This window comes from Homo sapiens, chromosome 17 (assembly GCF_000001405.40).
Source record: "Homo sapiens chromosome 17, GRCh38.p14 Primary Assembly".
In the NCBI taxonomy this organism is placed as follows: domain Eukaryota; kingdom Metazoa; phylum Chordata; class Mammalia; order Primates; family Hominidae; genus Homo; species Homo sapiens.
The window spans coordinates 56993789-57014377 of record NC_000017.11 but is presented as its reverse complement, the minus strand read 5'-3'; the positions used below and the strand labels follow the sequence as shown (position 1 = coordinate 57014377).

Here is a 20589-nt window from a genome sequence, read left to right as displayed (position 1 = left end):
GGAGGAAATTAACACAAAGCACAAAAGATAAATGAGGAACATCCCTTGGAAGCTTTGCACTGGGAAACTACAAATACTTTTCTCGCTCTCAAGGAAATTAAAGCAAACCGGGAGCCTGTGAAATAAGAAATGTAAAATGAGATGAAAAGATAAGGTGAAACAGCAGCTGGCATAACTAGGGAAAATAAATTAAGGAGAAAGATAATTATAGAAGTTAAGAATCCTTTAGAAACTCAAAGTCTAGCCGGGCGCAGTGACTCATGCCTGTAATCCCAGCACTCTGGGAGGCCGAGGCAGGCAGATCACGAGGTCAAGAGATCAAGACCATCCTGGCCAACATGGTGAAACCCCATCTTTACTAAAAATACAAAAATCAGCCGGGCGTGGTGGTGGGCGCCTGTAGTCCCAGCTACTCAGGAGGCTGAGGCAAGAGAATTGCTTGAACCCAGGAGGCGGAGGTTGCAGTGAGCTGGAATCATGCCACTGCACTCCAGCCTTGGTGACAGACGGAGATTCCGTCTCAAAAAAAAAAAAAAAGGAAAAGGAAAAAAAAGAAACTCAAAGTCTAGAGTGACATTACCGAAAATGAAGTAATGATGTTGACGGGAGTCTGGAGAAAAAGTATCTAGAATGAAAGCTAAAGGACAACAAAGTGGGAAAATATCTTAAAACAATATTCAAATAAATACTGGAAAGCATTGCTGAACTGAAGATCAGAGCCTGGGGATCTAAAAGCTCACGACACATCAGGCAAAATTCATTAAAAGCTAAACATCAATGTAACCATCAGACGTTCCCGGTTTACATAATTTAACAAAAATATTTGGCCGGGCGCGGTGGCTCACGCCTGTAATCCCAGCACTTTGGGAGGCCGAGGCGGGCGGATCACGAGGTCAGGAGATCAAGACCATCCCGGCTAAAACGGTGAAACCCCGTCTCTACTAAAAATACAAAAAATTAGCCGGGCGTAGTGGCGGGCGCCTGTAGTCCCAGCTACTTGGGAGGCTGAGGCAGGAGAATGGCGTGAATCCGGGAGGCGGAGCTTGCAGTGAGCCGAGATCCCGCCACTGCACTCCAGCCTGGGCGACAGAGCGAGACTCCGTCTCAAAAAAAAAAAAAAAAAAATTTACAGCAACCATTTATTAAACTGGTTGGCTAGGTGTGGTGGCTCACATCTGTAATCCCCGCACTTTGGGAGCCCAAGGAGGGCGAATAGCTTGAGTCCAGGAGTTCGAGATCAGCCTGGGGTAACATGGTAAAACCTAGTCTCTACTAAAAATACAAACAAAAGTTGCCGGGCTTGGCAGCAGGCCTCTGCAGTCTCAGCTGCTTTAGAGGCTGAGGTGGGAGAATCACCTGAGCCCAGGAGATGGGGGAGGCAGTGAGCCAATATCACGCCACTGCACTCCAGCCTGGGCAACCAGAGTGAGACCCTGTCTCAAAATAAATAAATAAATAAATAATAAAAAATAAAATAAAATAAACTCATTATTTACAAAGATGAAAAAGAAGTGAATTGGTTTCAAATTTCTCAGCAACATTAGGTGGCAACACTAAGAACGATGTGATTTGAGAGTATCTGATCAATTGTTGCTCACAAGTATAGGCAACGGAAAGACATCAGATATGCAGATTCCAATTGTGGAGAATTTTGAAGCCATTAAAATAATAAAGTTTTGTATCAATCAGGATTCAATCAGCAGCTGAGCACAGTGGTCCCTGCCTGTAATCCCAGTACTTTGGGAGGCTGAGGTGGAAGGATTGCTTGAGGGCAGGAGTTTGAGACTAGCCAGGCCAACATAGCCAGACCCTGTCTCTACAAAAATAAAACTTAAAAAAGAATTAGCTGGTGGCCGGGTGCAGTGGCTCATGCCTATAATCCCAACACTTTGGGAGGCTAAGACGGGCGGGTCACACAAGGCCAGGAGTTGGAGACCAGCCTGGCCAACATGGCGAAAACTCATCTGTACTAAAAATACAAAAATTAGCTGGGCATCATAGCACGCGTCTGTAATCCCAGCTACTCGGGGGGCTGAGGCAGGAGAATCACTTGAATCCAGGAGGCAGAGGTAGCAGTGAACCGAGATCATGCCACTGCACTCCAGCCTGGTGACAGAGCGAGACTCTGTCTCAAAATAAGTAAATAAATAAATATATAAATATATAAATAAATAAAAGAATTAGCTGGGAGTGGTAGCACGCACCGATAGTCCCAGCTACTTGGGAGGCCGAGGCAGGAGGATGGCTTGAGCCCAGAAGTTCGAGGCGGCTGTGATCGCACCACTGCCCTAAAGCCTGAGTGACTCTATCTCAAAAATAAAAAAGGATTCAATTTCAGAAGCAGAACGGTGTGTGCGTGTTTGCATGTGCACAGCCGTGCGTATGGGGGAAGGTGTAACAGGGATTTGACTTATGCAGTGTGGAGCTGGTTAAGAAGTCTTCATAAGGCTTTTGTCTCCAAATCTGATGCTGGAGATTGAAGTACACAGGGCAAGCAGTCAGGAAGGAACAAGGAATGTAAAGTGGAGAAGGACAAGAACAATGTGAATCCCACAAGCAAGAGATGGAGTCCATGGGACTGAAACGCATGTCAGTTCTTGGGTCCCTCTTAGTGCTAAGCACACTCACCTGGCCCGGGAAGCAGACATGCTCTAGGAGGATCCGGGGGAAGGGGGAGCAGCTGAGCTCAGCTGAGCTGAGCCAGCAGAAAAACGATAACATGCATGAATGAAAAACTGTTGCTGCTTCACTTCACCCTCCACATTTTCCGAAGAATTTCTCTTGTGGGCCACCCTAATCAGAAACATACAAGAAAGGTAATTCTGAAAAAGTTAGCCTAGGCAAGTTGAAACATTACAAAAACACTACAGTCCACCCCTTGTCAACTTGGCACCCATAACATTGCCTTAAACCACACTTAATCTCCAAATAAAGTCAATAACAAAGTCATACTCTGCTTACCATGACACAACTGTCCTTCCTATACCCAGAAATACACATCTTTTTCCCCAGAAGAGAATCAGAGTCCACTTTTTGTCTTTGGATGATGCTCATTCTTTTACTAGCTGTTTCACATTCCTTCCTTGACATCTTGTAATATAAATATTTATATGTAAAGTTAGGTACAAGCATTTTGGGAGGCCAAGCTGCGAGGATTGCTTTAAGCCAGGAGTTGAAGACCAGCCTGGGTAACATAGCAACACCCTGTCTCAAAAAAAAAAAAAAAAAAAAAAAGCCAGGCACAATGGTATGCACCTGCAGTCACAGCTACCTGGGAGGATCGTTTGAGCCCAGGAGATTGAGGCTGCAGTGAGCCGTGATTGCACCACTGCACTGCAGCCTCGGTGACAGAGCAAGACCCTGTCTTAAAAAAGAAAAACAAAAAAGGTTAAATACTATTAGCACATCAGAGACGATAAAGGAATGAGAGATAAAAACAAAAATATTTGGTTCACCAGATGCAGCTGTGGCTTATGCCTGTAATCCCAGCATTTTGGGAGGCAGAGCATTTTGGGAGGCAGAGGCGGGCAGATCACTTGAGCCCAGGAGTTTCAGACTAGCCTGGGCAACATGGTAAAACTTCATCTCTACAAAAAATACAGAAATTAGCTGGGTATGGTGGTGCATGCCTGCAGTCCCAGCTACTGGGGGCGCTGAGGTGGGAGGATCACTTGAGCCCAGGGAGGTGGGGGGTGAAGGCTGCAGTGAGCTGTGATTGTGCCACTGCACTTCAGCCTGGTTGACAGAGCATAACCCTGTCTCAAAAAAAAAAGTTTTTTTGTTAATATTTATTAAAATAGATTCACATCAAAAGAAGAAAGAAATACTCATAATTATTACAGTCCTCGTTTCTACAGTGGGTCACAAGGTCATAGTACTTATGACTGCCCTCATCTATGATTTATTCTGCGTATCTTTTGCCCTCGGCAAGCACTTCAGTTGGTCGTGGCTTTTTGCCTGATGGAATGACTTAAATCTTTTGTGAAGGGTCTGGGCCATTAGCGGTCTTAATTGGGTTGTTGTAGCTCTCCATTGACCTTAATCACAGGATATGGCAGTACTAGGGGGTGCCCCAAAGGATCTCCTGCATTCTTCCTTCTTACGTCCATTGTGTAGGAGCAACCCCATTTCCTCTTGATAGTCAGATCAATCACTGCAGACAGCACTTTGCCTGTTGATGCAGTGCCCAAAGAGGCCAGATGGTGGCTTCAAGCTCCAGTTCCACGGATTATCTGCTGTGTCTCCTAGAGAAAACATTTCTCCCGTTGTAACTAAGACCTCTAGACCAGCAAAACCTAAAGTTGCAGGGATGGGAAGCAAAAATTCTACCACTGGATCACTAGGGTTAACAGTGAGAGGAGTCGCTTTCATTTTTATCCCTTGATAACTGGACTCATGAATCCTGGGTATGGGAGAAACAAGGCGGTTGATTTAGAGCATGTACCACATACTGGAGGGCAGCACCCCAGCCCTGCAATCTATCCCCTCCTAGCTGGCCCTGTAACTGAATTTTCAGTCATTCAACCATCTGTCAGGGCAGTTGCTTCAAGAGGATGGGGAACATGGTGAGAGCAGTCAATTCCACTTGTGTAAATTCACTGCTGCCTTTCATTTGCTGTGAATACCATAGTCATGGATGAGACACTCCGTAGGTCCACAGATGCTAGTTTTGGCAGAAGCATTGTGGGAAAGGAAGGCACATCTATGTCCAGAGCAAGGGTTAATTCCATTGAAAACACAGTGCTGCCTGCCTCATAATAAAAGTGGTCCAATGTAATCAGCCTAACACCAGGTAGCCGGCTGATCTCTTCAGCAGTGATGCCACATTAGGGGCTCAGTGTTGTTTCTTCTGCTGGCAGATGGGGCACTCAGCAGTGGCTGTGACCAGGTCACCCTTAGTAAGTGGAAGCACATGTTGCCAAGCCCATGCATAGCCTCCATCCCCGCCGCCATGGCCACTTTGTTCATGAGTCTACAGGAATGGCTGAAGGAGGCTAATAGCCACAGAATGGGTCATCTACCCACCTGATTATTAAAATCTTCCCTTGCCCTAGTTGAGTATTCAGATGGAAAACAATGATCTTCATACTCGGCCATTCAGAGATCTAATCTCATACCTCTTCCTCAGAGCTTCTTGTCATCAATTTTCTAATCAAGTTTTTTTTCTTTTTGAGACAAGGTCTCACCCTGTCACTCAGGCTGGAGTACAAATATGGCTCGCTGTAGCCTCAACCAACCTGCCAGGCTCAAGTGATTCTCCTACCTCAGCCTCCTACACAGCTGAAACCACAGAGGTGCACCAACATGCTGAGTTAATGTTTTTATTTTCTGTAGATACAGGGTGTTATCATCTTGCTCAAGCTGGTCTTGAACTCCTGGACTCAAGGGATTCTCCCACCTCAGCCTCTCAAAGTGCTGGTATTATAGGCATGAACCACTGTGCCCAGCCTTCTAATCAAGTTTCTTCCAAGTCCCTAAATACCCAGCTAAATCATGAATTGGTGCACTTATTCTTCTGTTCATTTCCCCTTCCAGGGAAAGTGAAGAGCTGAGTGCACTGTTCCAAGTTCTGTCCACTGGGAGGATTTCTCTTCACACCATCTTTCAGGGCTGTCCTGGAGTGTGGCCGTGGTGCCATAGCGGTCCACATTCAGGTGATGCATGCATACTGTGGAGCCCCGTCTGTAAATCAAGCCTGAGAGTTGTCTTCCTTTGTCAACTGATCACAGGGATTCCCTAGGAAGGTAGGGGTGTGGGTTGAGAGAGAATGTTATACAGCAGGAATAAGAGCCCTGGGCAAGTCTAGGAATTTACTACAAGATCTTAGGACAAGACATGATTAACCTGCCCGGACAGCAATGGAAGGGCGGCTTCTAATGGCCAAAAAGGTTTGAGGTCCCCTAGCTTCATCTGTGCAGGTGACTCATCTCAATGTTCAGAATTACATTTCTTCTCAATCAATGCACTAACTTTTAACAGAAGAGACTCTGTGAGGTTGGGAATTCAACTTGCTTTATGATTCACTGCTTTGTTGGATGGTTCACCAAGACTCACAAGGCTCAGTAGCAGGTTATACTAATAGCTAACATTTTTGTAACAAAAGATGCATATCAAAAGCGGCAGGTAAAAACGATACACATGGGTGATGTCCAGGGGTATCCAGCACAGGCTTCTAAGGTTCTTGCTTTCCATGGGCACACTGGAGTTCTTGCCAACAGTGAACCATAGGGACATGTGTAGTCTCTGTCCCAGGAGCCTGTTTTTAGTCTCAGGGTCTGAAGGGGTTAGTCACGTAGACATAACCTGCTGTTAACTGTTTCCTCACAGTCTGCAGGAATAAGCTTTGGGTTTGTTATTTTTTTTAATTAATTAATTTATTTATTTATTTTTGGGACAGAGTCTTGCTCTGTTGCCCAGGCTGGAGTGCAGTGGCGCGATCTCGGCTCACTGCAAGCACTGCCTCCCGGGTTCACGCCATTCTCCTGCCTCAGCCTCCCAACTAGCTGGGACTACAGGTGCCCGCCACCACGCCTGGCTAATTTTGTGTGTGTGTGTGTGTAGAGATGGGGTTTCACCGTGTTAGCCAGGATGGTCTCGATCTCCTGACCTCGTGATCTGCCCGCCTTGGCCTCCCGAAGTGCTGGGATTACAGGCTGGAGCCACCGTGCCTGGCTGTTTTTTTAAATCTCAGCCTTTGGCCAGGCTTGGTGACTCATGCCTGTAATCCCAGCACTTTGGGAGCCCAAGGCAGGTGGATTGCTAGAGCCTGGGAGTTCGAGACCAGCCTGGGCCACATAGTGAGACTCCAACTCTACGAAAAAATTTTAAAAATTAGCTGGATGTGATGGTGCTTGCCTGTGGTACTAGCTACTTGGGAGGCTGGGGCAGGAGGATCATTTGAGGCATGATTGTGCCACTGCACTCTAGCCTGGGTCACAGAGTCTCAATAAATAAATAAATAAAATCTCAGCCCTGCAACTACAAGAGGTGATATTTCTTTCAGACAGTCCTAGAAGCTGTTAGATCCCCTATGCAGATTTTTTTTTCTTTTTGAGATGGGGTCTCTGTCACCCAGGCTGGAGTGAGTGGCTTGATCATGGCTCACTGCAACATCAACCTCCCTGGCTCAAGTGATCCTCCTGCCTCAGCCTCCTGAGTAGCTGGGACTACAGGTGTGTGCCACCATGCTCGGCTAATGTTTTTATTTTTTTTGTAGAAATGGGGTCTCCCTATGTTGCCCAGGCTGTTGTTGAACTCCTGGGCTCAAGCATTCCTCCTGCCTCGACCTCCCAAAGTGCTGGGTTTATAGGTGTGAGCCACGGCATCAAACCTCCTTATGTAGATCTTGAGCTATGAATAAAAAGTTAAAAGTCCTGAGCTAATTATTTTGATTTTAAGGAAATGTGGCAATCCTCTGACTAAATAATTACACTTTTATGAATTTATTCTAAGAAAATAAGGAGGTACAAAAAAATCTAACTATCAGGGTGAATCAACAGAGCACTATGTATAATAGCAACAAACTAGAAATTATTATACTTGTCGGAAACAACTGGGAATTTTGTAAATAAACTAGAGTACAACCATAAAGTAGAATGCTCCACAGCCATTAAAAATGTTAGAGAAGAACATTTATTGACATGAAAAGGTGTTTCAGATATACTGATATGTCAAACAAATAGTAAAACAACATAGAGTAATGATTCATTTTGGTAAAAAATATATATGTATATATAGAAAAAAAAATTCTGCAAGGACATATGCTAAATTGGTAACAGTGCTTACCCCTGGGAAGGGGGTATACAGATGTTGATTTACTCTTTGGGTACCTGTATTTCCCAGTTTTTCTATAAATCACATCATTTGCTTCTGTCATAAGAAAAAATAATATCTATTATCATCCTTTATTTTGATCAAAACAAATCAATTTTTTAAAAAATCTTAGGTTTTTTTAAGAAGCAGAAATAATTTCCAAATTGCCTCCAGAGACAATGATTTTATCCTCTGCAGAAGCTGGTCAGAACCTTCTTGATCACAGCCCCAGTTAGATACAGGGAAGAATGGCGCTTCCTACAGCTTCAGCGGCCTCAGCTCAGCTCTGTGCCCCAAGGCCAAACCAGCTCATCTCCAGCCCCATCCATCCTATTCTTGCTGAGTCACCAGTCTCATCATCTTCAGAGCCATGTCCCCTTGGTCAGAAGGAACCTAGAAAAAAACAACATCTGAGTTAGTGCTCCTGGTGCTATTCCTGGGGCTGGGGTCAGAGGCAACATCCTGAAACCTTGCTCCCAAAAGGGAGCCAGCTCTGTGACAGCAACCTGTGCAGACACCTGGGCACATCCCTGAGAGAGGGTCCTTCCTGAAAATGACTCCTGCACTGGATGAAAGCTCTTCTGGGCCCTGACTGGGCTGGGTGGCAGGGACCTGGAGAAGTCAGCATTTAAGACAAGAACCTTCTACTCCATTTGGAGCTGATCTGTTGATTTCTTGGTAAGGGTCATGCTAATGATACTAGACCTAGCCTGTTCAAGGAAGAAGGAAGATTCTAAACATTTTAAAGGCATCTGTCTAGAAGGGATCCCGGATTGAGAATAGAGAAATGGCTGAGAAGGGAGCTCACAGCAGAGAGCCGCAAATAATAAAAACAAACAGGGCCCTTTGGGTGGCATCCGATTTTCGCAGTTATTCAACTTTCTTTTGTTTTCCCTCAGATTTTTAGAATAAGTCCTTTAAAATTTCCTTCCCACACAGCATCAAAAGGGGGAAGGGCAGAGGCCTCAGTTTCTCCCTACACAGAAGGGGTTGGAGTATATGGTCTCCCCGTTATGTAATTCCCTGGCTCCATGATTCTCTATGGCACACCCATCCTTGACTCTTCTGCCAAGAGTCCCCAGGAGGCACAGGCAAGGTGGGTTATCCTAAAATGTCATTTAATCAATGAAAGGGGAAGTGGTTTGGGGACGACTTAACAACAGTCTCCAAGGGCTATTTTAAGCCTGTCCCCAACTGATCTGTTGTTCTATATGTGACAAACCAACAGGAAATGGGCCTGAACTCTAGTATACAGAGCGCGTGGTTGGCTTGTTCCATGCCTTCCTACCAGCCTCGTCAGGGACTTCTCTCTAGGGCAGGCTGAGCATCCCTCATTGGAAAATCCAAAATGCTCCACAATTCCAGCCTTTTTGAGTGCCACCATGAGGCCACAAGTGGAACATTTCACACCTGCCCCATGGGCGGCTGCATTCAAAATGCAGGCGCACAACACACAGTTTATTTCTGCATCCCCAAGGGGGTTACAGTACAGTAACCTTTTAATCAAAACACAGCATTGTAGGTAGAGACCGAAAGCTGCTGTTGCTTGCTGTTGCTGTTGTCTAGCAGCTGACACAGGTATTCTGGTCATGCTACTGTGCTGCTCAGTTACTCTGAACACACAACTTTTCCACTGTATTAATGGTATGTTGTATTTCTTACTGTGAAGTACTTATGTGTGACTACATGCAAGAAAAAGATTGCTTATCGGCAGCATATAAATTTGGAGTCAGAAATGATATGATGCCTAACAACCACAGATTGGTTGAAGAGCCATGGGTGGCTGAAATAGCCACCCTTTGCTCTCTAATAACTCAGTGCACACAAACTTTGCTTCATGCACAAAATTATTTAAAATATTGTACGAAAGTACCTTCGGTCTATGTGTATAAGGTGTATATGAAACATAAATGAATTCCATTGCCTAGACTTGGGTCCCATCCCCAAGATATCTCATTATGGATATGCAAATATTCCAAAATAAAAAAAAAATTAAAAATCTGAAACATTTCTGGTTCCAAACATCTCAGATAAGGGGTACTCAACCTGTAACAGTGCTTGCTCTAAGACGTTCTAATTTTCTTTCTTTTAGTCAATATTGAAGGTACTCAGATCCTGAGAGCCATAAATAATGCCCTCTCCCTCTGTGCCCTGCTGCCTTGTTTGTTCTCCCTTTAGATTAAGTCTATTTGTTTATTTATTGATTTACTTTTTGAGACAGAGTCTCACTCTGTCACCCAAGCTTTCAGGCTCAATCAATCCTCCCACCTCACTCAGCCTCCAGAGCAGCTGAGACCACAGGCAGGCGCCACCGCGCCCAGTTGATTTTTGTTCTTTTTTGAGACAGAGTCTCACTCTGTTGCCCAGGCTGGAGTGCAGTGGCGCTATCTCGCCAGCTGGATGCAATGGCACTATCTTGGCTCACTGCAACCTCTGCCTCCCAGGTTCAAGCGATTCTCCTGCCTCAGCCTCCTGAGTAGCTGGGATTACAGGTGCCCACCATCATGCCCAGCTAATTTTTGTATTTTTAGTAAAGATAGGGTTTCTCCATGTTAGCCAAGCTGGTCTCATACTCCTGACCTCAGGTGATCCACCTGCCTTCGCCTCCCAAAATGCTGGGATTACAGGTGTCAGCCACCATACCCAGCCTAGATTAAGTGTCTTTTGAGAGTGGGCTGCTTTCTCTGGCTTCTTAAAGGAAGCTACTGTCTCTTCTCCTCACTACTCATTCATTTTCTCCAGTCTTTCCAATCTGGCTTCTGAGCTTGCCACCTCACCAAAATATCTCACCAACGCAGGTGCCAAGGACATCGGTGTAAGCACATCATCACTCACGTTTCAGCCCTTCCCCTGAGTTCTCACTTAGCACTGCGGGCCCCTCCCTGCTTTGGGGATGCCACGCATCCCTGGTCTCCCTTCTCACTTATCTGGCTGCTCCTTTCTCAGTCTCATTTGTAGGCTCTTCTTCTGCCTTCTGTTCTATAGGCAATTCAAACTCAGCTTGTGCAAATTCCCTCCATCGCAAACCACAATGCTGGAGCAGAAACCTGCAAGCCACCCTTCAGTTCTTTTCTACCCCAAATGATTACCAAGTCCTGCCAATTTTCCCTTCTTTACACTTCACCAAATCCATCTACTTTCCTCCTTTCTGGATTTACCTGACAGCCTCATTGATTGGTCTTTGGCCCCAGGCTTGCCCCATGCCCTCTACTGCTAGAATGGTATTTCTTGGACAAATCTGTTAATTTCACTCCTTTGCTTAAAACCCCTGCTTGGTGCCCTACTGTCTGAACTCCTTAGAGTGGTATGAAAATTCCCCCTCTGCAGCCACCTCCCTCCAGTGTCCATTCCAAGTCCTCGCTGTCTGAGGCTCCTGTGGACCTTGTATTCACTGCTCTCCATGCTCCCCACCTCCTCCTCTTTCCTTAAATCACTCCTACGCATCACGTGGGGCACAATCTTCCAGATCTGCATGCCTGGGCAGGGCACCCTTCCCTGGGCCAAGCCAGCTGTTGACAGTCTCCTTGCCTGTCTGTCTCTAGACCACAAGCTCCTTGAGGACAGGGACTGGGCACCACTCACCCTTGTGCTCGCAGTCTCTAGTGCTAATAGCGGAATTTTGTTAGGAAACTCAAAACACTCCCAAGCCCTAAGTATTTCTTTTTTAATTTTTCTTTTTTTTTTTTTTTTTGAGACAGGGTCTCGCTCTGTCACCCAGGCTGGAGTGCAGTGGCATGATCTTGGCTCACTATAGCTTCTAACTTTCAGGCTCAATCAATCTGCCCACCTCACTCAGCCTCCTGAGCAGCTGAGACCACAGGCATGCGCCACCGTGCCCGGTTGATTTTTGTTCTTTTTTGAGACAGAGTCTCACTCTGTTGCCCAGGCTGGAGTGCAGTGGTGCTATCTCGGCTCACTGCAGCCTCCACCTCCCGGGTTCAAGTGATTCTCGTGCTTCAGCCTCCCAAGTAGCTGGGATTACAGACATGTGCTACCACACCTGGTAAATTTTTGTAGAGACAGGGTTTCGCCACGTTGCGAAGGCTGGTCTTGAACTCTTGAGCTCAAGCGATCCACCCGTCTCAGCCTCCCAAAGTGCTGGGATTGCAGGCATGAGCCTCTGTGCCTGGCCTAATTTTCATATTTTTTGTAGAGACAAGGTTTCTCCATGTGGCCCAGGCTGGTCTCAAACTCCTGGGCTCCAGCAATCCACCTGCCTTGGTCTCCCAAAGTGCTGAGATTACAGGCATGAGCCACTGTACCTGGCCCTCGGGCCCTCGTACTTCCTACAAGACCCACCTGGGCAGTGGACAGAGGCATAATAACCGCCTGTGGCTTCCCTCTCAGGATGATTTTTAAGTCTGGAACAAAAGCTCTTTCTTACCATATGACCAGCTTTCAGAATCCAGTAGAAAGCAAGGTTCTTGTAGGACTTGACAAAAGCAGATGTTTCCAAAGATTTAGGGTCACTGTACAGGGCCTTCCACTTCAGCTGACTGAATTTAGGCAGTTCTGGCCACTTCAGTTTCCGCACCCAGGCCTCCTGACCTGGTGAGAAGGACAAAGAGAAAGGCCTGGCATTAACAGCTGGATAGAATAGGAAAAAAGTCTAGGTCCTAAAAGTTGGTGCTTCCCAAACTGCAATATGCATGAAACTCACTCAGGATCTTGTTAAAATGCAAATTCTGATTCAGAAGATCAGGGTAGGGCCTGAGCATCTGCATTTCTGACTCCCAGTGAAACCTAGGCTGCTGGGAGAAACCTAACAGCTGCAAAGCCTGACTGATTTTGCCTCTGCATCTCTCACCGCCATCTGCTCTTTAGGAAGGGAACTGGGGACCTCTGGAGGCAGACAGGCCTGTGAGGAGGACTGAGAGATGTCGTGAACGAGATAGTGATAAGGATCACCTGGGATGTTCATCGAGAAATGCAGCAGCTTTCCAAATTGTCCTTGGTGTCTCTTGTTTACCCATCACAAAAATATTCAATCCTTCTGGTTCACGAGGCGTGTCACATCCGTCAGACCTTGTGCCTCAATTACCCTGCCAGTTCAGAGAACCTGTCTCTGAGCCTCCACCAGGCCCTATTTAATTTGGAAGTGAGCAAATTAAACAGGTGGTAGGTGATAGGGCAGGAGTCAGGATTCCACAAAGACCATTTCCCCTGGGTCTTCAGGGTTACAGTCATTAGGGTTTAGTTTTAATTCACTCTGCAGTGGTCAACATCGACTGTGATGTCGCACAAAAATGAGGCTCTCCCTTAATTAAACAGCGCATTTGCCCAATAACCAGGAAAATGTCTAAGTTTTGTGGTAGAGACAGGTGGTGTTCTTTTCTTTAATCATACCTAAGGGCCCCCAAACCCAGGTAGGCTCAGGCTTCTGAGGGGTCACAGCCACGTGCAGCTCCCCACCCTTTGAATAATCAAGGTCGGGGTAGACGGATGTAATGGGAAATGGCCTTCCACCTGGCATTTCAACATCACCCACCGCAAGACTGACATGTCCAAGGCCAGTTCCCTTCCAGTTGAACCCATAAAACTGCCTCTAGGTGCCTCTCAGAGTCAATTCCTACCCATGGTATCTACGATGAGATCCAGCTGTCCATTATACACCGTCACGTTGATCCCTGCCTCCAGCAACTCGTCCACAATGCTAATGACTGGCTTCATGAAGTCCTCCTCCATGTTCACAAAGACGTTGGTAGCCTGGCCTGCACATGGGGAAGGAGAAAGAGGGAGTAGCTTGGAATCTGCCAAAACAGGAGGTACCTTTCAGCCCAGAGCATCTTGGGCTCCAGCACCGAACAACGACTGAATGCACAGATGCTTCACAAACAGGGATGAACCAGCCCAGAAATTTGTGCCGACTGGTCAGGTGTAAGGCACACATAAATAGCACATGTGGTCCATTCTCTTGAGAGCTTGTGATGACAGCAGGCACCATTTTTAATGAGGAATTGACACCTGGAATAGGCTACTGTCCAAGGAAACAGGGAGGGAGAGGCCCAGGAAATACTCATTAGGCTGGTACACTCAGGGAATAAATTGTGCTTTGGGCCAATGTCAGTTTTCCTGTTTTTTTGAGTAACACCAGGGCCAAGTTTCAAGTTCTGAACAGGTAGGCCTACCTTATAATAAACCAGATCAAACCTAAACCAATTCAGAGCTGGCCCTCAGGAAAGCCAAATGAATAACAAGCCCCAGGCAAGAGAGGAGCTAGTACTCTTGCTAGCTCCTGCCCATCAGCATTATCCTAACACTGAATGACAGCAATAAGAGTGGCAGCCACCATTATTTGCTAGTCACTGCCAAGGAGGCATCTGACAAGCAACATCCCATTTTCTTCTTCATTACCTTGGGAGATAAGAAGTCTTCTTTTAAAAAAATTTAATTTTTATTTATTTATTTACTTATTTGAGACAGAGTCTCACCCTGTCACCCAGGCTGGAGAGCGGGGGCACAATCTCAGCTCACTGCAGCCTCTACCTCCCAGGCTTAAGCGATCCTCCCACCTCAGCCTCCCAAGTAGCTGAGACTACAGATGCACACCACCACGCCCAGCTCTTTTTTTTTTTTTTTTTTTTAGACAGAGTTTCACTCTTATTGCCCAGGCTGGAGTGCAATGGCACAATCTTGGCTCACCGCAATCTCTGCCTCTCGGGTTCAAGCGATTCCCCCACCTCAGCCTCCCAAGTAGCTGGGATTACAGGCATGTGCCACCTCACCCAGCTAATTTTGTATTTTTAGTAGAGACAGGGTTTCTCCATGTTGGTCAGGCTGGTCTCGAACTCCCGACCTCAGGTGATCCGCCCACCTTGGCATCCCAAAATGCTGGGATTACAGGCGTGAGCCACCACACCCGGCCACACCCAGCTCTTTTCATTTGAGCTAATTTTTCTTCATTTCTAAAATTCTCCCAGCACTCAGGAGTAATGAAAAAACCAGGGATGGAATGAGACCTCTGGTGACTGCAGGTTGGGAGAGGAGGGCCCATGTCCCCTGAGAAAGCTCCCAGCAGCAGCAAATCGTAGGCTCCCAGCAGCAGCCGCAGGACCACTGACCCCATATCCTTGGGGTATCTTGAACACACATGAAACAAAACCCTCTTAGGTTTGGAGTATTTTCCCTTCAGAAACCTGAGATCTCTGCTTGCTCAAGGCCTCCCTATAGGACTAAAGTAGGAACTTAACCAAGATTTCTACCTGGCCCTGGTCTCTAAGGATTTCATTATTTCCTCACCATGGCCTTGAGACCAGAACGCAGTAATGCCTGGCCATATCCAGCATCAGGATGCCTGGGGAGGTCAGCAAGAGAGAGCTGGTCAAAATCTGCCCGAGCACCTGGGTGTCTCTGACATCCTGCAAGGACCTTTGGCGCGAAATCTCATCTGCAACCAACTGTGGCCTTCGATGTAGCTTTTTTATCTTAATTTTTTATTATGGAAAATTTCAAATGGATAGAAAGGAGAAGCATACAATGCTCCGATGTACCCATACCAGGCTTCAACAATTATTAACTCACAACCAATTACACATTATTTCCCTCCCCACTCAGCTCCCTACCAACTCCTTATTTTGAATCAATTTTGATGTCTTTTTTTTCCCCTTTTTAAGAAACAGGGTTTCTCTCTGCTGCCCAGGCTGGAGAGCAGTGGCATAATCATAGCTCACTGTACCCTCAAACTCCTGGGTTCAAGCAATCCTCCCACCTCAGCCTCCCAAGTAGTTAGAACTATATGCCACATGCCACCATGCCCAGCTAATTTTTCTATTTTTTTAAAGAGATGGGGCTTTACTATGTTGCTTAATTGTGGCCTCAAGCAATCCTCTCAACTCAGTCTCCCACAGTGGTGGGATTATAGGCGTGAGCCACTGCATCCAGCCCTGACAAGTCATTTACTGTCTCTGTATCTATTTGCTCACCTACAAAACGTGGATAGTAATATTGTTTACCTATAACCTATCATCACCAACAACAAAACCCACCCTACAAATTCAGGTCTCTGAATTTGCACCTCTTTTCTCCCCATAACTGTACAAACGGCACTTAATTAGGTCATATAAGTACCTCCCCAGGATTGATCCTCAGGAATAATTTTGAGCTTCTTTCTGATGGGGCCATTCATGAGCTGGCTTAAGGCATCTCGTTGTAGGTGTCTCACGTGGCGCTGACAAAGACAAACTAAAACCAAACTGGTAGATAGTGAGTCAAAGGGCTGGAAGTAAGGCCAAGAGGACATCTTTTTTTTTTTTTTTTGAGACAGAATCTCTCTCTGTCTCCAGGCTGGAGTGCAGTGGCACGATCTCGGCTCACTGAAACCTCCGCCTCCTGGGTTCAAGCGATTTTCCTGCCTCAGCCTCCCGAGTAGCTGGAACTACAGGCACCCGCCACCATGCCCAGCTCATTTTTGTATTTTTAGTAGAGACAGGGTTTCACCATGTTGGCCAGGATGGTCTCGATCTCTTGTCCTCATGATCCACCCGCCTCAGCCTCCCAAGTGGTGGGATTACAGGTGTGAGCCACCACGCCTGGCCATGAGGACATCTTTACCAAGCTGCTGGGGATGCTGCACAGCAAGAGGGAGGGTTTCAGATTCAGCTGGAAAAGGAAAAGCGTCACCTTGATTCACCCCCAGCGGGAGGAAGGAAGTCAGAAACACATTGAAAGTGGAGAGGCTTTATTATTAGGTTGGTGCACAAGTAACTGCGGTTTTTGCCATTAAAAGTAATGGCAGAATTTCTCAAATTCAATGGCACTCTGGCCTGGGCAACAGAGTGAAACCTTATCTCTTAAAAAAAAAAAGGGAAAAAATAGATTTGTCAAAATTGGTTCAAAATAAGGGGTTGGTAGGGAACTGGGTGGGAAGGGAAATAATGCTTCATTAGTTGTGAGTTAATAATTCTTGAAACCTGTCAAAAACCACAGTTACTTTTGCACCAACCTAATAGTATTGATTATACATTCTATAGACTTGGGGGCCATTGGGATTCTCCAGAACGGCCAAAGAGAATCATCTAGAAAGTGGAACCTAGGGTATCCTGCAGCCTTTATATGCTTCTTGGTTGGCTGAAAGATGACTAAATTCAGTCTTGAACTGATGTTGTAATTTGGTGTATGGAAGCTGGTTTCTAAACTTCAAAAACATCATGCTATGTGACAGAAGCCAGTGCAAAAGACTAACTATTGTGCGATTGTATTTATATAAAATGTTCAGAAAAGGAAAATCTAGAGAGACAGAAGGCAGATGAGTGGTTGCCTGTGGCTGGGAGTGGGAATGAGAACTGTCTGCAAGCAGACACGTGGGATCTCCTTGGGGTGACAGAAATGCTCCATAACTGGATTGTAGTGATGACTGCACAACTCTGGGAATATACTGAAAACCACTTACAGTGAGTTAATTTTATGGTATGCAAATTATATGTTAATAAAGTTTTTTTTTTTTTTAATAAACAGGTTTCTTTTTGCATGGAGGCTGAGGCAGGGACTTTAATAACTTCAAGGTTCACTCACCTAGGTGGCTCTGTGTGAATTCTAGACTCGACTCCATTGTAGACGTGGGAGTGCTTTTAGTTAAGATGTTATAGAAGTTCACCCCATCTGTGTTCTGAAATATAAAAGTTTATTTGGCTGTTTGTTTCATTTTCCTATCATCAAAGCTGCCAAACAGAAGGACACATGGCTCTTTATCTTATCCAAGGACAGGTTTAATTTTGTATATCTGCTTGGATCAGAAAGAAATAGAGCTTTGGCTGGGCCTGGTGGCTCATGTCTGTAATCCCAGCACTTCGGGAGGCTGAGGTGGGTGGATCACTTGAGCCCAGGAGTTCGAGACCGGCCTGGTCAACATGGTGAAACCCCTCTCTACTGAAAACACAAAAATCAGCCGGGCGTGGTGGTGCTCACCTGTAGTCCCAACTACTCTGGAGGCTGAGGCATGAGAATCACTTGAACCCAGGAGGCAGAGGTTGCAGTGAGCCGAGATCGGGCCACTGCACTACAGTGTGGGTGACAGAGCCAGACTTAGTCTCAAAAAAAAATAAAAAAGAAAGAAAGGAAAAAGAGGCCAGGCGCGGTGGCTCACGCCTATAATCCCAGCACTTTGGGAGGCTGAGGTGGGTGGATCACCTAAGGTCAGGAGTTCAAGACCAGCCTGGGCAACACGGTGAAACCCCTTCTCTACTAAAAATACAAAAATTAGCTGGGTGCGGTGGTGCGTGCCAATTATCTCAGCTACTCGGGAGGCTGAGGCAGGGGAATCACTTGAGCCCAGGAGGCAGAGGTTGCAGTGAGCCAAGACTGTGCCATTGCACTCCAGCCTGGGCGAGTGTCTCAAAAATAAATAAATAAATAAATAAATAGAGGAAAAAAGAAAAAGTAAAAAATAAAATAAAGAAAGAAATGCAGCTCTGAAGTCTCAGAAACCAGCTGTGTCAGCCCACTCTCCCTGGAGTGGTGAGCATCTCATATGAGCAGTGATCAGGCCCTGCAGGGAAAAAACCAAGGGCCTAGGTGTTAATTTACAGGGAGAACAGAGCTGCAGAGGGGCCTACACTCCCAAGTCCTTAGCCTACGCATTCTTTCCTTCTGGCTCTCTGGAGTCAGAATGTTGCTTGGCAAGGGTCCCAATAAGGGAATGTGTTTTCTCCACACACTCACCTCTGCAAGACAGTCTTTTTTTTTTTTTTTTTTAATAGAATCCATACATTTAGTGAAGGACAAGCAAGTCTTGCAGGCCTGGGTGGCTTTCTGACTCTGTAAGGAGCCACTACATCACTGCTTAGACCCAAGAGATTTATTATCCAGCATGCAATCATTTGCAGATATGTGGGGAGCCTCAGTGTAGACTCCAAGTTTGACAACACCAACCATGGGCCCTGTACCCACCAGAAAAAGCCAAGCAGGCTCGCCTCTGAGTGTTTCCCCTTTTTACCTGTTCAATGATCATTTCTGCTTTCCCCCACAGCTCTGTGGCCTCTCTGTAGAGCCCCTTATTTACGGCATTCAGTACTTGCTCTGCAACCTTAGACACCTCTGCCAGACCTTTGTCTTCGAGAAGAGACTGGAATGCAAACCAAGAGCAAAAAGACCCACTTTACTTGGGAACGTCAATCTGGTATTGCTGCAGTTAGGGAGGGGTAGGAGAAAGAGGGGAAGGAAGGAGAACGGGAGCTCACATATCAAAGTGTATTGTTACAAGCCACATGTTTATTGGATGAAACACAGCAAATTGTTAACTGAACCTAAGTAGGTATTCACCGTGATCTTTCAACATTTCTGCATATTTGAAAATTTTTGTAATAAAAATTTAGGGCATTGGAAAAATGTGTTTCTTATATCTGGAAAAAAGTGATGTGTGCTGATTTTCTTTCAATTTGTCCCTGAGGCGAGCTCTTGCTTTGGGTCTCCAACTCTATGTGGATGACTAGTCCCTAAAAAGCAGTGTCAACCACATAGGCAAACTCATCCAGCATCTCTTTTCCTGGGGTCACAGCCAGAAGAGATCTGCTGGGCTGTTTGCCCAGAGGGTGCAGATGTGTATCTACTTACCATGCTGTACAGGTAAGGTCCCCAGGAGAGCACCGAATCTAAAGGAAATCACATATGTACAAATCAAGTATGTCATACCTCTGTCTTTCCAAAGACAAACCTACTGTCTTCTCTCTAAAGAAGAAAGAGACAGAAGCAAGAAACCCGGTGGCTTTGGATTGGAAGGCTCCTCAATTCACCTGTACCCATGCAGGAGGCGGGCTGATGTCTCAGTGTCTGGAAGGTGGGATAAGGGTGTGGGGGCCTTTCTGTTGACTCTTAAGACTAATGGCACATTAATTTGGCCTGATACTGGTCCAGCAAGTGAGTCATTGCCGATGACAGCATCCCCACAGGCAGGCTGTAGGTATGCAGGTGGAGGCTCTTATCTGTGGACCTCTAGGCCTTTTGACAGCTTAAAATATTTCCCCACCCTCACATTTCTGCTCTACATCTTATTTGCTCCTCCAGTTTGGAGATATTAGCTTCTGCCAAGGAGCTAAATAAGGAAGATGACTAATGAGTTTGCAACAGTGCAAATGGCTATATTGCCAATTGGCTTATTCCCATCCCACAAACATATTGAGAATTTACTAAGGGTCTAGAGGCAGCAAAAGCTTAAGATATAAATGTGAGTAACATAATGCCTGTCCTCAAAGAGAATAGTAGTTGACCTTGGTTTAGACAAGCTCACAACTATTAAATACTGTATCACTAGGTAAGACAAGTGCTATTGAAAGACACGCCAACAAAGAATCAAGGACCTCAACTTATAAAGCACATTTGAGTATGTCTCTCCTTAGCTTAAAAGTATTCAATGGCTCCTTAAGGCAAAGTGTCTCAAAGTAGGTTTCAAGTAGTCTTAGTTCTGCAGGAACTAAGTCCATGTTGCCCAGTCTGGTCTCGAACTTTTGGGCTCAAGCAATCTGCTCGCTTTGGTCTCCCAAAGTGCTAGGATTACAGATGTGAGCCACTACACCTGGCCTGGACTGGTATTCTTTTAGAGTACTCTCTGAGAAATGCAAGCACACCAGGACTTCCGTGGCCTAGCTGTTAATCACCTCCCGGGCTTAACCTTCAAACTTGTTTCTTAGTTTCTTAAAACACAGGATTGGCTGCAGTTCTCCAATGCATCCCACTTCCTGTTTGATCTGGGCCAGAGACTGGTAAACTTTCTGTAAAGGGACAGATAGTAAATAATTTTGGCCTGGTAGGCCAGCCTATCTCGGTTGAACTACTCCACTCTGTTCT

General features: G+C 45.9%; 1 protein-coding gene across 3 annotated transcripts in view, besides 2 other annotated features; it reads right to left on the bottom strand.

Annotated features, from left to right (window-relative positions):
• Positions 3768 to 4397: an enhancer, noted in NCBI's record as "OCT4-NANOG hESC enhancer chr17:55087342-55087971 (GRCh37/hg19 assembly coordinates)". NCBI's record gives its function as "activates a minimal SCP1, AML or CMV promoter by ChIP-STARR-seq in naive H9 embryonic stem cells {active_cell/tissue: H9 hESC(naive)}" and the evidence as "EXISTENCE:reporter gene assay evidence [ECO:0000049][PMID:30033119]".
• Positions 3932 to 4131: an enhancer, noted in NCBI's record as "active region_12423". NCBI's record gives its function as "activates an Ori minimal core promoter by ATAC-STARR-seq in GM12878 lymphoblastoid cells {active_cell/tissue: GM12878}" and the evidence as "EXISTENCE:reporter gene assay evidence [ECO:0000049][PMID:35858748]".
• SCPEP1 (serine carboxypeptidase 1) overlaps positions 7610 to 20589 on the bottom strand; it is a 28638-nt gene continuing 15658 nt past the window's right edge. The window contains exons 7-13 of one of the 3 annotated variants that reach the window (NM_021626.3): positions 19360 to 19397; positions 18743 to 18871; positions 17323 to 17416; positions 15880 to 15993; positions 13386 to 13523; positions 12197 to 12360; positions 7610 to 8205 (exon numbers count right to left, since the gene is read on the bottom strand). In NM_021626.3, coding sequence (NP_067639.1) covers positions 8143 to 8205; positions 12197 to 12360; positions 13386 to 13523; positions 15880 to 15993; positions 17323 to 17416; positions 18743 to 18871; positions 19360 to 19397 — 740 coding nt within the window. In that variant the 3' untranslated portion in view covers positions 7610 to 8142. Of the gene's footprint in view, positions 8206 to 12196; positions 12361 to 13385; positions 13524 to 15879; positions 16411 to 17322; positions 17417 to 18742; positions 18872 to 19359; positions 19398 to 20589 lie in introns of those variants that run through there. The other 2 variants (XM_005257557.4, XM_047436509.1) reach the window with 2 other exon arrangements.